We start from the raw sequence: 16,853 nt of genomic DNA, 5'->3' as shown, positions 1-16,853 counted from the left end.
ATACATACTGGCATTAATATACCACATAGATTCACACACTGATGACCAGCTGTTTCTAGCCAGCCATTAAAATAGACAGCAAGTGCTTTTCTTTGCCTTGAATTATTCCATGTGGGCAAAAAGAACATGGAGTCTCATTTCTCCTGCAATAATCCCTAATTCCAGATTCATTCACTGATGAGTTAACTTCCCCTGGCCACCTCTGAGAATGTTCAGTTCCCACAGAAGCAGGCCGCATGCACGGGGTGCCAGGAGGCGAAGGGCCAGGGAGGGGAGCAGGGCCTCTGCTTGTTATCTGTTGCTTCAGGGGAGTTCCCATCCTTGGCCAGGCCTCAGCCTCCTCGGCCACCTGTGGGACAAAGACGCTGGGAGTGTGTCCTGTCCTGTGGAATTAAGTGGCCCACAGGAAGAGCCTAGCCAGCACTTTCCCTAAGTGCTCAGCCAGAGCTCCTTCCCCAGTGTGTGTTTCCTGCAGGTCCCGTGCCAGCTGCTCTGGTACTTGGCAGGGTCAAATACACATTTGGTCACCCGGGTAATAGAGACTCTATTCATCTATATCAAGGTTATTTTCATTTCTGCCCATGGGTATATAGCTGTTTGCTTTTAACATTGGGACACATCCATCGTGTAATTTTAAAAGTGAAGACTCGCTCTTAAGAAACATTCTAAGGGACCCACCACCAAGAGAGGCAAAAACTGGTCAAAGTGGAAGGAATAGAAGGGCTCAAACTGGGGGAGAATGCCCGGAATTTCAGGTGCTATTCCTACTTCCTACTTGAGAGACATGTTCCCTGGGAAGATGCAGAAAGCAGTTTCATCTTTTTTTTTTTTTTTTTTTTTTTAAGACAAGGTCTCGCTCTGTCACCCAGGCTGGAGGGCAGTGGTGTGATCTCGGCTCACTGCAAGCTCCGCCTCCCGGGTTCACGCCATTCTCCTGCCTCAGCCTCCTGAGTAGCTGGGACTACAGGCGCCCACCACCATGCCTGGCTAATTTTTCTATATGTTTAGTAGAGACGGGGTTTCACCATGTTAACCAGGATGGTCTCGATCTCCTGACCTCATGATCCGCCCACCTGGGCATCCCAAAGTGCTGGGATTACAGGCGTGAGCCACCGCACCCAGCCAGTTTCATCTTTTTACTGTGAACCTGGAGCTACTGAAGCTCGTCTTTTTGGTGCAGGTGTTCCCAGTGAGTGACGCAGCTGCAGATAGTTTTGTAGGTGTTTGGTAGTGCTTTTCATCGGGCCTCTGGGGCCTCGCGTCTCCAAAAGTCCTGAGAGAGTGAGTTTTCCTTGGGTGCTTGCCTTGTGCATTAACTTACGTGTAGCATCCTAGGAAATGTCATTCGAGGTGTCAACCTAAATAGCAAACAGAGAGAGGCTCTCTAAAAGAGAATGGTGTTTATTCGGGAATAGGGCACTGCAATGGGAATGTGTGTGCTGTAGTAAGCTATGTGCATATTTAGCGAGGTAAAGGAAGACAAATGTATTTAAAGGAAAAAATTTCATGATCGTTTTGAGATGCTCTTTCCTTGACTACAAGGATAAACGACAAAGATGGTGCCTGTTTGAGGTTGGACAGACAGTTGCTGGGCACATGTCCTTATAGATATATTTTTCTGTGGATATGATCATTTTTGTTATCAGGTATTTATGCATGAGAACCCTCCCTTCATGGCCTTTCCCAGCTCTACTCCTCAGGGTGGGTTTTTGTTGTTATTGTTGTTGTTTTTAACACAAGTGACTCCATTTTTATTCTAACTGCTTTCACAGAGGATGCCAATGCTTCACTGTAACATCACTGATTGTTTTTGTGTCCCAGGAATACCGGCCACGAACGTTCTGGTTTAACATGGCCGACGCCGCCTTCCAGAGCCTGGTTTGCTTTTCCATTCCTTACCTGGTAAGTTGGCCCCTGGGTGCAGTTTTTCTTACCAGCTGGATCCGGGGACCTACAGATCCAGGACCCCACTGTCTTTCAGGCCTACTATGACTCGAACGTGGACCTGTTTACCTGGGGGACCCCTATTGTGACAATCGCGCTGCTCACTTTCCTGCTCCACCTGGGCATTGAAACCAAAACCTGGGTAAGAGCCGCCTGCATGGCCACGTCTCAGAAGAGCACTGATGCCGTGGACCCCACACTTCCCTGCAGATTCATGAGGTCTGGGAGGTCGTTTTGAGTAGACAGGAGACTGCAAAGCTGACCTCAGTGTGATGAGAAGGACAATGACACATTCCCGAGCCCTGTGGTGTGGGGAGCCGCTGCAGCCTGATGCTCGCACTTCCCCGGCCATGCTCATCTCCCTCCCGCCTCTTTCCCGCTTCCACCACCACATTCTCTCCTTTCCCTCCTGTCTTGCCCTCTCGCCCCTGACTCCATCTCACCTCATGTGCATCTCCCAGGGCGGTCCATGGGTTCTGGAGGCCTCATTGAGCCCCACCGGTTACCCGCGTCATAGACCGCAGTGTGTCTGAAGGCCTCAGAACCTCACACCTGCTCATTGATGACTGGCACGTTTTTGTTATTGTCATTGTTGTCACTTTTAGGTGGAAATAAAAGCCCTTTCTTTCTCATTCCCCCTCAGACCTGGCTCAACTGGATAACGTGTGGCTTCAGTGTCCTTTTGTTTTTCACCGTGGCTTTGATTTACAATGCGTCTTGTGCCACGTGCTATCCTCCGTCCAACCCTTACTGGACTATGCAAGCCTTACTGGGTGACCCAGTGTTTTACTTGACTTGCCTGATGACGCCTGTCGCTGCACTGCTGCCCAGGTGGGTGTCGGAGCGGGATAGTGCCTCTGAGCCCCGAGTGAGCCCAGACGACATTGGCATTGCTTCTGCTCTATGTGGGTCTCTGGAAGCTCAAAGACACCACCGACAGGAATATCTAACTTTTTGTTTTAATGTACTTTTTCTAGATTGTTTTTCAGATCCCTCCAGGGGAGGGTTTTCCCCACACAACTTCAGCTGGCACGTCAGTTGACCAGGAAGTCCCCCAGGAGATGCAGTGCTCCCAAAGAGACCTTTGCTCAGGGACGCCTCCCGAAGGACTCGGGAACCGAGCACTCATCAGGGAGGACAGTCAAGACCTCTGTGCCCCTGTCCCAGCCTTCTTGGCACACACAGCAGCCGGTCTGCTCCCTGGAGGCCAGCGGGGAGCCCAGCACAGTGGACATGAGCATGCCAGTGAGGGAGCACACCCTGCTGGAGGGGCTGAGCGCACCGGCCCCCATGTCCTCTGCGCCAGGGGAGGCTGTCCTGAGGAGTCCAGGAGGGTGTCCTGAGGAGTCCAAGGTGAGAGCTGCCAGCACCGGCAGGGTGACCCCCCTGTCTTCCCTCTTCAGCCTGCCTACCTTCAGCTTACTCAACTGGATTTCCTCCTGGTCGCTGGTCAGCAGGCTGGGGAGTGTCTTACAGTTCTCCCGGACGGAGCAGCTTGCAGATGGACAAGCGGGACGTGGACTTCCTGTCCAGCCCCACTCAGGCCGATCAGGACTTCAAGGGCCAGACCACAGACTACTTATAGGAGCATCTTCAAGGCGGTCACAGTGAAAACCTTGAAATGGCCTTTTTTAATATATATAAATAAATGTTAATATTATTTATGTTTATTATTTGCACAGAAGAGTTCTAGGGAGATGTATTTCTAAATGTTTCCCAGGCTAATACAGGAAACAAGAGGTACCAAAAAAGAAAGTTTATTTTTTAAAATTCTAAGTAGAGTATATTGAAAAGAAAAAGAAGAGCCTTAACATATATAAAAGTTTAAAGAAGAGTAACACTTGAAAAGTGTGTTTAGATTTATTTTTTCATCTCATTTTTAAGAACAAGCAGTACGATTTGTTTTCTTCAACATGTGTGACTGCGCACTGAGTACAAATGTGTGACTGCTCATGGTTAATGCAGGCAGGTGTGAACATGGGGGAACAATGAGCAGAGATGGCAGAGGGCAGAGCACATGGCCCCCAGAGGCTTCCAGTCTCACTGACACAGGAGGGCTGGGCTCCACTTCATCCAGATGAAGGAAAGGAAGACCTCAAGAAAAATTCACAGTTGAGTGCATCCCAGCATTCTGTTCCGGGCAGGCATTTCAGGAAGACCGCCTTGTAGGTATTACATCCCTGGTGTCGTATTTTGCCTGTTAAATCGTAACAAGCAATAAACAACTTTCACTTTGCAAAGACAGTGTGTCCAGTTACCACTGGTGTATGAAATGATTAATACCTGACCTCACAGAGTATGATCTCAGGGCACTTCCGTAAGGCAAGTCCTTTTAGAGGCTATGAAGAAAACAGCTGCATGGCACATACCAAAGCTGCTGCACAGCTGGCCACCATGGCACCCTGCACCAGGCCATCAGCACCACGTGCCAAGGAGCTCAGCGGTCTTCAGGCATTTTTGTAATGAGCCATTAGTTCTGTCCCTCTAAAACTAGAAAAGGAAGGGCAGGAAATGATAACAACCCAAGGCAATGATATGGCATGTCATCTTCCGAGCCCTTCTTTCTACTTTGTCAAACAGTTCTTAGTTGCTGGCTCTGCTCGGCACCGGGACTGTGAAGGGTGTACTCCCTGCTGTGTGGGAGGGACCTAGGGCCTCTTTGGATGCTGTCTTCGAGGACAGCAATGCAGAGAGGGCATAGGATCTGAGGACAAGGAAATTCCTCAGCATGGCGTATCAGGAAAGCATGGCTCATTCTGCAATGAGCCATGAGTGTGGGCCATCGCAAGTCACAGAAAATGCACCTCATTCCAGTCAAGCAGAAAAACAGGCACAGGCTCAGTGTAGGTCCCAAGAGAGGGTGCCTGGACTCAGCAACTCAGACCTGGGCTTTTCTCCCAGCTTTCAGGGACAGCTTTGTCCTGAGTCTGCCTCTGTTCACGGGGATGCTTGGCTGGAGTCACCCCCAGGACTTATCCATGCATCACTATTCAGAAGACACAGAGGGCCCCTCTCTCCACATTCCAAACAGAGTCCTGGTTTCCTCAGCCTCACCCTGCATAGCTTGCACAACATCCTCAGAACCATTCACTGGCAAATGGAGGGGAACGTGCTGACTGGGACTCCCAGCTGGAGCTGGGAGGAGAGGTCCACTTCCCTTAGAACACCTGAGCTGCTGCATGAGTGGACGTCAGAAGAATCTCTATGCCCTGTTAAATGGGGAGACAAAGGGGTGGTGGGGGCTTCAGCCAGTGATTTCGGACCGAAGGTGACAGCCGTCCCAACCCTGCCCAGCCTGATGCCACCTCCTCTGTTCTTGGAACAACGCATAGGAAAAGAATCTCCTTTGGAAGGTGACACTGCTCCCTGAATTAAGGTAATGGTTGCGAGCACCAAGTACAAGGACTAGACGCATATTTACCTGCGTATCTGAGAGTTCCAGATTCCCAGCTTCCAGATGATCCTTGCACAGACAACCTACCTTCTTTCCAGAGGATGTCTTTCTCCTCTGGAGAGTAGATGCTTGCTCTTGGGAAACGGAATGACCTTGGCGCTGGCTTCAGGAATATGCATCCCACAGCCAGTTTAGAGAAATACATGTTGTAAATGGCATTGACAGCTGCTCTTTAGGATGGGGAGTATTATGGAAATCCACAATAACAATCTATGGCAAGCAACTAAGTTTGGTGTCAAAATGAACATAATATGGGGGCGAACTTCATGATTATCTCAAAAAAGCAGTAGGTGAAATAGGTTACCAAATCCTAATAACAAATCTAAAATAAGTAGGAAGGCTGGCTTCCTGAGGCTTGGTAACAAAATAGCTGGGTTAGTCATTTGACATTGTACAGTGTGCCCAGCTCAAAGTCAAAATCAATTAATTCTAAGTTCTCGGAGGTCAGATACTATGTCCTCTTCACTTTGGATCCCTGGCACCTTGCACAGAACCTAGCAGTTTGAATGTGCTGAGAAAATGTTTGAAGAATCAAAGAATGAGTGGTAATCCTGAAACACTGAAGGCATTCCTGTGATAATCAGAGGTAAAGGACAATTGCTTGCAGTAACCCATTATGATTTAATATTTTCTGTAATCTCTGGCTAATATGACAAGACATGCATTCTTCAAAAGAAGGCATGTGAAGTATAAAGATAGTGGGTTGAAAGTAAAAGGATGCAAAAGGATTTAATATATAAACAATATGTAAAAGAAAGGAGACATAATTATATTAATATCAGACAACATAGACTTCAGGCCATAAAGAGGGACCTGAAAATGATAAAAAGGCCTTCTCAGGACATGAGAATCGCCCAAGTGATGTACTCCTAATAACCAGAGCTTTAAAATACGTGAAACTCAAATTTACAAAAAGGAGAAATAGACAAATCACAAATATACCCAGACTGTCTTTCAGTCATTTATAGAATAGATAGAGAAAAAGTGGGTGTAGGAGTTAGAGAGACATAGGCAATGTCCTTATTTGTGACTAGAAAATGCAGGCCCCAGCTGTAAGTGTGCATGGCTGCAAGTGCTTGGATGTAACTACAAGCAGAGCTTCTCCCCTGCACATGGAAGTGGCCCAAGCCAAGCAAGGCCAGGGAGGCGCGGGGAGAGGTGCAAAGTGCAGAGAGGAGCAGGGAGAGAGACCTGGGAGAGGAGTGAGCACAGAGAGGGTCCCGGCTCCCTGACTCATTGGCCAGGAGGCACCTGCCCTCATCGTATCTGTGCCTTCGGTAAGGGGCCGGGACTCAGCTTTGCCCTCCTCCTGCTTTCCTCGCATCTCTACTGAAAATGCACCTGTTTGGACCTGTTACCTCGAAGGCATGAAGACTTTCATAAGTGTTCACCCTGCCACTGCTGCAGAGCCCATGTCCAGGGGAGCTTCCCACACTCAGGGTGAGGGCACATTTGTGGATCACAAAATCAACTTTGTCACCACCAGCTTTTTGGTCCCTTCCTTTCCCCTCCTCCTCTCCCTCCCCTTTCCCCTCCCCTTCCCCTTTCCTTTCCAACGGGGTCTCATTCTGTTGCCCAGGCTGGAGTGCAGGGGTGTGATCACAGCTCACTGCAGCCTCTACCTCCCGGGCCCACAGGGTCCTCCTGCCTTAGCCTCCCAAGTAGCTGGGACTATAGGCACCTGCCACCATGCCCGGCTAATTTTTGTATTTTTTGTATAGATGGGCTTTCGCCGTGTTGGCCAGGCTGGTCTCAAACTCCGAGGCTCAAGCAATCTGCCTGCCTTAGCGTCCCAAAGTGCTGGGGTTACAGGTGTAAGCCAGCGCCGCCTGACCTTGTTTTTCTTTAATGAAATGATGGCCTTTGGTGGTCTGAGCAAGCTCTGGGGAAGACAGCCTGGTTGCTCCCTCCCTCCCAGCCCCTGGGGTTCATCTCACTCAGAAGGGAAGCCATCTCCAGGGCCTCTCAGTGGTGTGGCTGCTGTTACACGGGCCCTGAGATCCCCACCCAGAGGATCTTCCTGTTGCAACTCCTTTTTTATCTCAACCTAGCCTGTTCTCACACAACGTCAACCTGGTGTCTTACTGAATGAATCCCTTCTCATGTTTGTATTTAAAAGCACTAAAATACTTTCGAACTACTTGACCTTAGTTTATACCTAACCTGGGGCAAGTGTTTTGGAACAACAGAAGTGACAAGAGTGCTTACAGGACGCTTAGAATGGTACTGCTGTTCTCTGGTCCTCATTAATCAAACCACAGCTGGAGGCCTTCGCTGGAAAGTGTACGACATGGCTCAGACTTGGGATGGCACAAACCAACACCTTCTGAGCCAGGCCCAGGCTCAGGCCCAACCAGTACACGATGTGCCTCCAACTTTGCCGGGAGACCATCCGCGGCTTCCAAAATTCCCCGAGCAGCGTGCGCACACCCACAGCCATCCAGCCAGGGCAGACTTCGGCCGGCTCTTAAGGTTTTCTTCCTAATGAGGAATTTTCAGCATCCTCAGTTCTTGTTTAAAATGGCACACAAAGCCCAGGTTGTTCCCTGAACTGCAAACCTGTCTGCTTTTCACCTTTTCCCAGCCTCTCTGGCTGGAGGGCGACAGCAACCCAGGTGAGACTGGGGAGGCCCCAGGCCCCGGGCTGTCCTCCCATTTCCCTTCCAGCTTTCAGCACAGCTGCCTTCTCTAATGCCACAGGCAGATTCGTGCTTTACTGCAGAAAGTGGTATTTCCTAGCTCATAATTTAATTATTTTAGAAAAGGCTATCTTTTTAGTTTTACAGATGTTAACTTTGCATCTCAAAGTTAAATGACAAAAAAATAATAAATAATGTAAGACAGACCAGCTGTCCAGCAAATAATCCAGAGAGAAATGCAAAAATGTTCTGGACAGCCAGGGCTGACCCATCTATGCCTTCAGAATGAAGCTGTGAAGTTTCTTTTTATTTATTTATTATTCCCGAAGCCGTGAATTTTAAAGAGGCCTGGCCAGGGACACAATCACTAAATAAAACAAAGAAGGGGATCCTGACTAGCTGGGCCGTCTGAGTTAACCAGACGTCATTTATTATCAACAGCAGTCCCTACGCTGGGAAGACAGCAGAGGTGTGTAGACAGGTAGTGCCAAGCGTCTTTCTCATCCTGAATCTCCTTTGTCCAAGCTCAAGGCCTGTGATGAAGACTCACTCTCAGGCCTTTGGGGTACAAGAGGCTGCCATGGTTATTCTGTTTGGAAAACACTTCCAGAGCCCTGACCCCACGGTGCATGGGTGGCTCTGCCTCATCACCCAGCAAGCCTGAGGGGACCTGGGTGAGCTTCTTCTTTGCCCTCCAACCCTGCAGGGGCGTCAGGGCACCATGCAACTCATGCCCACATGCACTTTGATGGAGAGCGTCCCAGGCTGGGGACACACACCAAGGCTTGCCATCACGTTCTTTTCATCAGTGTAACAGCGGTAACTGTCCAGGGACACGCAACCTCCTTGTCTCCCATCACACTCCGTGGCCCAAACACAGCACAGCTGGAGCCGGGAAATATCCACTAGGTGAATGCCCATCACTGCTACACACTCACAGCTGTCTCCCTCGGCACCTGCACACGCAGGACAGCTCTGGACAGGTGGGGCACTGAGGCAGCCCAGCCAGGCTGCCAAGACAGGGCTAAGAAGCCCAGTGGAAATTGTGGATTTCACCAAAGACTCCCAGAGAGAAGCATTGCCATCCCCTCCCTTCTTTAAATGCAAAGAAAAAAAAATAGTTTGTTGTTCTCAGGACTTCTGGGCATGGCAGTCTCAAAAATGAGCCAAAGCAGACAAGAAAGGGCATGCAAGGCCTTCTCTGGGTGACAGTGACGAAGGGTGAGTCCTTCAGAACGCTCTACTCTGGAAGCCCGGCCCACTGCAGAGTGACATCTCCGTCACTTGGAAGGGCAACGTCGTCCCCCAGCTGTCGGGTCCAGTTCATGCTTGTGAAAGTCCTATGTGTGTGGCCACACATGTGAGGACACATTAGAGTAGTTTGAAACTGAAGAGAGCAAATTGCAGAATGAGGACAGTTCTGACAGAAATGTACCTCTTTTGCAGCTGATGTAGCTGAAAGCCATTGGCTGCTGCACGGGAGCAGCAGTTGTATAAGACCGACACCCAGGAAGCCCCACCTCTCCTCGACGCTTGTTTGAAATTTCTGCCAAGGAGTGTCCATGACAGTGGGTAGCAGGGGCCTCCTCCGCCCCTGCCCAGCGCATAGGGGGAGTCCAGCAGGTTTTGCCTGAGCTACCTCGCTCAACCGGAGTGGGCTGCTCCTGTAAAACCCACCCTCCACGTTGGAATGAGATTCCAGTTCATCCTGACGGCTGACCACTGGAGTGGCAGCCCACCCTGCAGCCCTCAGAGCCCCTGAGGGGCCCTGGGTATGGTTTTGCATGCTGCTCACTGGCCCTGCTCATTGGCCCTTGCCCCTGTGACCCTCCTTCTCCTCGTCCCACCCCAGGATGTTACGCTTGGGATGTGGCCGTGCACACATCCGTACAAGTGTCTCAGGAGCAGTGACCACAGGTTAGTCCTTAAACTAGTAACCCTCCGCACACCTCGTCTTGCCCTAGGACCCCTTCTCCCTCCCAGGCACCATGATTTCCCTTACCCTCGGTCTACCCTCGAAAACAACCACCAAACATATCCTACAAGAGTTTTTTCCATTGTTTTGGTAATCATTCATATAAAATCTCATAACAAGGATAGTCAAGGCATACTCAACATCACTAATCAATAGAGAAAGACAAAACCACAGTGAGATAGCACCTCACCCCCATTAAGAAGGCTTTCTGGATCATTTAAACAATGAAGAAATGACAAGAGCTGGTGAAGATGTGGAAGCTCCAGAGCCCTGTGCACTGCTGGAAGGAATGCAAAATGGCACAGCTGCTGTGGGAAACAATGTGGCAATTCCTCCCAAAATTAAAGGCAGAATGACCATCTGATCCAGCAGTTACAGTTCCAGGTACCTACCCAAGCAATTCAAAGCAGGGACTCACACAGATATTTACACTGCCATATTCATAGCAGCATTCTGCACAATAGCCAACAGATAAACATAGCCCATGTCGGCCGACAGATGAATGAATAAACAAAAATATGGACTCTACATAGAAGGGGATATTATTCCGTCTTAAAAGGAGGGAATGTCTAACACATGTACAACACAGATGAACCTAGAGGACAGGAAACTGAGTGAAGGAGGGCAGTCACGAAAGGACGGGCCGGGCACGGTGGCTCACGCCTGTAATCCCAGCACTTTGGGAGGCTGAGGCTGGTGGATCACCTGAGGTCAGGAGTTCGAGACCAGCCTGGCCAACATGACGAAACCCCGTCTCTACTAAAAATACAAAAATTAGCTGGCGTGGTGGTGGACGCCTATAATCCCAGCTACTTGGGAGGCTGAGGCAGGAGAATCACTTGAACTCAGGAGGTGGAGGCTGCAGTGAGCCGAGATCGTGCCGTTGCACTCCAGCCTGGGCAACAAGAGTGAAACCCCTTCTCAAACAAACGAAAAAAATAGGACAGATGATGTGACTCCACCTACATGTGGTGCCTAGAGTAGTCAAACTTGTGCAGACAGGAAGTAGAATGGGGGTGGCCAGGAGCTGGAAGGGGAAAGGGGAGTTCGTATTTAATGGGCACAGAGTTTCCATTTAGGTTGATGAAAAAGCTCTGCGATGGATGGTGGTGCTGGTTGCACAACAGCATGAAGGTACTTCAGGCCCCGGAACCAACTATATGCTTTAAAGCGGTTAAAATGATACATTTGATGTATGTGCAAGTTACCACAACAATTTTTTAATTAAAAAAAAAAGAGGCAAGAGCACCTTAGGGAATACAATTTTAGATCAAAATATTTTCAAAGCACTCGATTCCGAGACAGAGCTCAGAGAGGCTTCCAGAGCCTCCAGCCTGAGCCTGCTTGGTGGCAGGGCTTGCCTCATCACCCTTCACTTTCAGAGCCTCTGAAAGTTCATCTCCTTGTAAAATCAACATGACAGCAAATGTGTCTGCTCTGACTGGGAAACCCTGAGTAACTTGTTGGAACCCAGGTGGCCATAAATCTCTGTCCTGAGTTATGGCCGGAGATGCAGGAAACACGTGGATGTGGAGGTCCAGTGCAAGTCATTCTGCTATTTTTAGCTCCCACTTTCTCTCAGAGAAAACTGGGGGCTGACAGCCAGGGGCTCGGAAGCCATCAGAAGAGCCACGCTGGGCAGGACAGCTCCCCTGGGGCACCCGGCCGGCCTCTGCAGACATAAACTGGGACACCTTCCCCAACCCTAAGCCAGACACTTCTGCTGTACACACACTGTATTTCCTTTGCAGGAACTACTGCCTCATGATAGCATCTTGTATACTTTATACTCGCTTCTTATTTCTCTGCCCCTTATCCCCTCCCTTCCCACTAAGATGGGGAGTTTCCATCTCAAAAATCCCATACAAGAAATGAGAGAGGAGAGAGAGGGAGAAATTATCTGATAGACGAGACAGTATTTTTCACGGTTAATTGAGGATGATTTTCATAACTGGCAAATGTCATTTTGATCTTCGCTATTAGAACATCTGCACCATCTCACAACAGGAAGCACAGCTATATTCCTTGGGATTTACCTATTCTTAGAACTAAGAGCACACATTCCACCAGCTGTCTCGTGTTGAAAATGTTAGCTTTCCAAATCCACGCAATTGGATTGAGCGTTTATAAATAGATTCAATAAAAGGAGGTTCCATTAGGTCTATACACTAAAACTGGAATTTTTTAAAGATCCTCCAAGGCCCCTTTTATTTGGTCTGTTCTTGAATCATGCCCTGAGAGCAAACCATGCAGTTTTATTGCTGAAGATAATATACATTGTTTTTTGAAAAAAGAAAGGTAATACGATATTCCTCTGTGTGAAGAAGGAGCTCAATTCTCGGCTACACCTAAGCATGCAGCCGCATAGTGATCCCTTGAAAGGAAGTGTACGTGACACATTCAGAGACTGGGAGCCCTCCTGCTGGAAGAGGCTGTGTACACAAAGCCTGGTCTCTGCAGGGGCTTGGGGAGAGGTCTTCACAGCCCCCGAACCCAGGAAATGCCCCCCCGCCCCGGCATTCCTCAATGCACATTCCAGATTTATCAGAAGGCACTGGAGTTAAAGGAAAAGCAAGCCTGCGGTGTATTCCAGTGACATATAAGAATAAGCCAATGCTTCTGGTGTGCCGCAATTTCATCAGTGCTCTCCTAACGCTGCTCTGAACCCTACAGGAAAAATCGTGCCTCCCTGAGCTGTAGAGTGTGAGGCTCTAGGCTATTTTCAGCCTGGATTTCTCACGCGGGCTGGCCACGTGGGGCTGCGGCTGCTGCTGTCTGCAGCCTCCCTGCTGGGGATCCTGCACAAGGAACCAGGATCACATGTCCCCTCCCTCTGGTGGTTCCCTCGTTCCCTCCCCCAGCCCTGACAGGGATTCCCAAATCCAGCCAGGGGTGGGAATCAAATGCAGAGACCCCAGCCCAGGGCTAAGAGTGGTCTCTTTAAATGAGGATGTTGTCTCCAAGACAACTGTCCCATGTTTTCCTAAATGCACATATATATGTAGTTACATATAATCACCTTTTTTAAAAAGCTGTTTCCATGTGCTCTTATTAAGCATAGCACAGTGTAAAGCACAGTCTAGCAAAGTGATGGTGAGTGAGTGCCCACAGGCTGAAGGTGCATGTAAGTAACCTCTGAGAGGGCTTTACCAAATGCCACCCTCAAACACACACACACACACACACACACACACACACACACACACACCATGGCTATACGTGTGCTCGGTATGCGGCTTTAACAAAAGTGTTTAAGATGGAGATGATATGAACTTGGTTCTCTCGAAGCAGAAGCACCAAGGTTTCTCTGTGTGGCAGCTTGGTTCTTACACAGTTAGGTGGAGGGAGGAGCAGCTGGATGCTAACCGTATTCTTGGATCTAAATAAATGTATTTTATACACGGTTTCATCTCTGCCTGCATCCCTATGCTTTGGAGTCAGCTGACTGCGGTGTGGGGAGGCTGGGATAGGAATTCAGGTCCTTCCCTTAGGGCCATTAGATCGGCCACCTAATGTGATGTGACACCCACACATTTCAAAACCAAATGAACCAGCACCCTCCAAGCGCCTGCCTGACGTGTCTCTCATGATGAGGCAGACATCCATCAAAGTGATTTATGCAGATGGACCGCCTCAGCCCTCACAAAAGCCTGTAAAATTTATTCTAATTTCACCCAATGTGCAGATGGGAAACATCAAGTCCCAGAAAGGGTAATTAACGTGCTCAGGTCACATGGCAGTAGCGGTGCAGCTGGGACTAGAGCCCAGGCAGGCTGGTGCATGAGTCTTCCTGACTACATTCTAGGATCTTGGTGGAGGAAAGGTTCTGCAAACAGGAATTTCCACATGTAAGTCAAAAATATGAATTCCATTTGTGCATAGACATACCGATTGTCTTTCTCAAATCCTGGCCTTTGGAGATAAATTAAAATAAACACTTTAAAGGTAATTCCTGTGGGCCCCATGTTATTTCTAAATCAGGGTTCATGTGGCACCTACTGTTTAATTCAATTCACTCATCCATTCATTCACGCATTCAACAAATGTGCACTGAGAAGCACGCCTGTGCCAGGCCTGGGTGCCCCTGCAGCACCCTCAGTGCGCTCACGGCTTCACACTTGGGCCCTGTCCTGGGTACGTTTGGTGCGTTACTGGAGACACGAGCTTTGTGTCAGGTGTGTCAACAAGCGCTGCGAAGGGGCCACATGGGGCAGAGGCTGGCATTGGTGGGGGAGGAAGGGAGGGCAGGCTGGGGTGGGGGGAGCTAAACCAGAGTGGGTGAGAATGTGATCTTGGCATCAGGAGAAGGCACTGGGCTTGGACCCAAAGCAAAGTAACAAGAAGGGGCTTAGCATAGTGGAGTTGTGTGGGAGGGAAGGAAGAAAGGAGGGATGAGGGAGGGAGGGAGGGAGGGAGGGACGGGTTTGCCCCAGGGCTCCAGACATACACAGAGATAAACACAGTGGTATGCACCATGAGGACAAAACTGGGACCAGCAAATGTGGTGGATTTTCTCTAGAATCATCTGCCCTTCCTGCCCGTCTGCTCTCACCCACTGGGTAGCAGGAACAATTTAATGTTTATCCCGTCCCCTCCAAGCAACTCTTCGGGCTGCTCCTCAGTAGGGCTGCTTCTCCTTGCTCTCATCCCCAAGTCTCCTCACCCTGCCCAGCCTTTAAGACGAACCTTGGCTCTGTGAGGGGAAGGTTTTGCAAGGATTGGGGCGGTGGGGGCTCCTGGACCCACTGGAAGGTGTGCTAGGACTGTCATCCACGTGTACAGGCTGCGAGGCTCCTGCTACCTTGACTGCCGACATCAGGGCTGTCAACATGTGGGCTCTCAGGGCCCGCACAGGATCCGGCAGCCTTCCCCCAGGGCCAGCATACTGCACAGGGAGTGTGGCCTCGGGGGCACGTGGGGGATGCCGTCAGGCCTGTGCTCATGGAGAAGGGGTGACGGGTACTGCACTGCTGGAGCTTTCCCTGTCTTCATGCCGTGGATCCCCAAGGTCGTCTGCAGAAGACCATGGACTCCTCACACTCATGCTTCTAAGTGCATGAAATTAACTATATCAGGTGACAGAGAAAACCAATGACACTGAAACAGCAAAATAAGTTTTAAAAAACCAACTTGCTATATGACAACATATGTGCATCATTAATGCATTAAATAATCTGGAAGCTGGTTTCATAGCTGCTGCAATTTTGGAATAGTGAGCACACATGTGTGTCAGGATAATTGCAACAAGCATAATGTGAATGGAAATAGCTGATTGCTGTTGGGGACAGAGTCCCCAGGACAGAGGGTTGCCAGATACAATACAGGACACCAGTTAAATTTAAATTTCAGGTAAACAATGAATAACTTTTGTAGTGTAAGTATGTGTCAAATATTGCGTGAGATATACTAAAAAATTTTGTTTATCTGAAATTTATTTAGGCATCCTGTATTTTTTATTTGCTGAATCTGTCAAACATTGCCTCCCAGTACTGTAACAGTCGTTTATTATGCACATTTATAACTGAAAGAAATGCTAACTTTTGGTTAGAGATTAGTGGCAATAAATATTTTTTTCCCACCCAGGTGTATGGACCTCCCTTGGTCAGGAAGCCCTGGACCAGCACCATCCCTCAGCAGACATTTGGGTGCAGGGCGTCAGCCCACGGCAGGCACCTGTTTTCTGTTCTCACCATCATGCTTCATGGGCTCTAGACCCTGTTTACCTGCTGGCCTGGCCTCACTTGGGGTCTTGCTAGTGTCCTGGACCCTGAGTGTCTGCGGGATGATCCAGAGACTGTTGGGCTGACTCCTCATTGGGGCCTCAAGCCCATGGTCAGTCCCTGTAAGACATCATCTCTGCCATCTCTGAGTGTGTCTCATCTGGACCACCCAACACTCTACCGGATGGAGATTCTTCTCTTATTGGGATCCTTTTCTGGATTATAAGTCCCATGAAGACTGGAGTTAGATCCACCATTGTATTCCCAGCTACTAAAACAGTGCCCTACGCACAGTAGGTGCTTAATATTTTCTGAACGAACAAATACATAAAATAACAAAGAATTACAGACTTCTTATTATGTTGCTGATTATGATTATGTTTGTCATTTGTGTGTAAAATGTGCCCAGAGAGGTAAAATGGAGCCATTTGATACAGCCTTAAAAACCACAGGGATAGGCCGGGTACAGTGGTTCACGCCTGTAATCCTAGCACTTTGAGAGACCAAGGCGGGCGGATCACGAGGTCAGGAGTTCGAGACCAGCCTGGCCAACATGGTGAAACCCCGTCTCTACTAAAAATACAAAAATTAGCCGGGCATGGTGGCATGTGCCTGTAATCCCAGCTACTCGGGAGGCTGAGGCAGGAGAATTGCTTGAACCTGGGAGGCAGAGGTTGCAGTGAGCTGAGATTGTGCCATTGCACTCCAGCTCTGGGTGACAGAGAAAGACTCTGTCTCAGAGCGGGGGAAGAAAACTATAGTGATAAATTTTAATTTCATGAACTGGGAACTTCAGAGCCATGATGAGCTTCTTGGGAGAGAGGGATATATTTGTAGTGTCAATCGAGAAGGAGTATTTTGGGCATCACTCCTGGCTTTCATGAACTGGGAACTTCAGAGCCATGATGAGCTTCTTGGGAGAGAGGGATATATTTGTAGTGTCAATCGAGAAGGAGTATTTTGGGCATCACTCCTGGCAGAGCAAGTGGGAACGAGGAAGACAGCATGGTGACTTCTCTCAAGACTACTGTGCACTAGGAAATCTGTTCCAAGCTCCCTTCCATATGGAAGTGATGTCATAGAGTCCTATTTTCTTCTCTTGGGTCTTCCTAAAATCTGCA

At 49.1% G+C, this 16,853-nt stretch overlaps 1 protein-coding gene across 9 annotated transcripts in view, besides 2 other annotated features; it reads left to right on the top strand.

Annotated features, from left to right (window-relative positions):
- Positions 1 to 10,659, top strand: part of ATP10A (ATPase phospholipid transporting 10A (putative)) — a 192,852-nt gene extending 182,193 nt beyond the window's left edge. For 8 of the 9 annotated variants that reach the window (XM_005268261.5, XM_011521826.3, NM_024490.4 and 5 more), the window contains 4 exons: positions 1,822 to 1,902; positions 1,982 to 2,086; positions 2,588 to 2,775; positions 2,922 to 4,184. In XM_005268261.5, the coding sequence (XP_005268318.1) occupies positions 1,822 to 1,902; positions 1,982 to 2,086; positions 2,588 to 2,775; positions 2,922 to 3,555 (1,008 nt within the window). In that variant the 3' untranslated portion in view covers positions 3,556 to 4,184. Of the gene's footprint in view, positions 1 to 1,821; positions 1,903 to 1,981; positions 2,087 to 2,587; positions 2,776 to 2,921; positions 4,185 to 9,483 lie in introns of those variants that run through there. The other variant, XM_011521828.3, reaches the window with a different exon arrangement.
- Positions 8,773 to 9,480: an enhancer, noted in NCBI's record as "H3K4me1 hESC enhancer chr15:25918563-25919270 (GRCh37/hg19 assembly coordinates)". NCBI's record gives its function as "activates a minimal SCP1, AML or CMV promoter by ChIP-STARR-seq in primed H9 embryonic stem cells {active_cell/tissue: H9 hESC(primed)}" and the evidence as "EXISTENCE:reporter gene assay evidence [ECO:0000049][PMID:30033119]".
- Positions 9,481 to 10,189: an enhancer, noted in NCBI's record as "H3K4me1 hESC enhancer chr15:25917854-25918562 (GRCh37/hg19 assembly coordinates)". NCBI's record gives its function as "activates a minimal SCP1, AML or CMV promoter by ChIP-STARR-seq in primed H9 embryonic stem cells {active_cell/tissue: H9 hESC(primed)}" and the evidence as "EXISTENCE:reporter gene assay evidence [ECO:0000049][PMID:30033119]".
- Positions 10,660 to 16,853: the final 6,194 nt, after the last annotated feature.

Source organism: Homo sapiens, chromosome 15 (assembly GCF_000001405.40).
Source record: "Homo sapiens chromosome 15, GRCh38.p14 Primary Assembly".
Lineage (NCBI taxonomy): Eukaryota > Metazoa > Chordata > Mammalia > Primates > Hominidae > Homo > Homo sapiens.
This window is presented reverse-complemented; position numbering and strand designations above follow the sequence as displayed.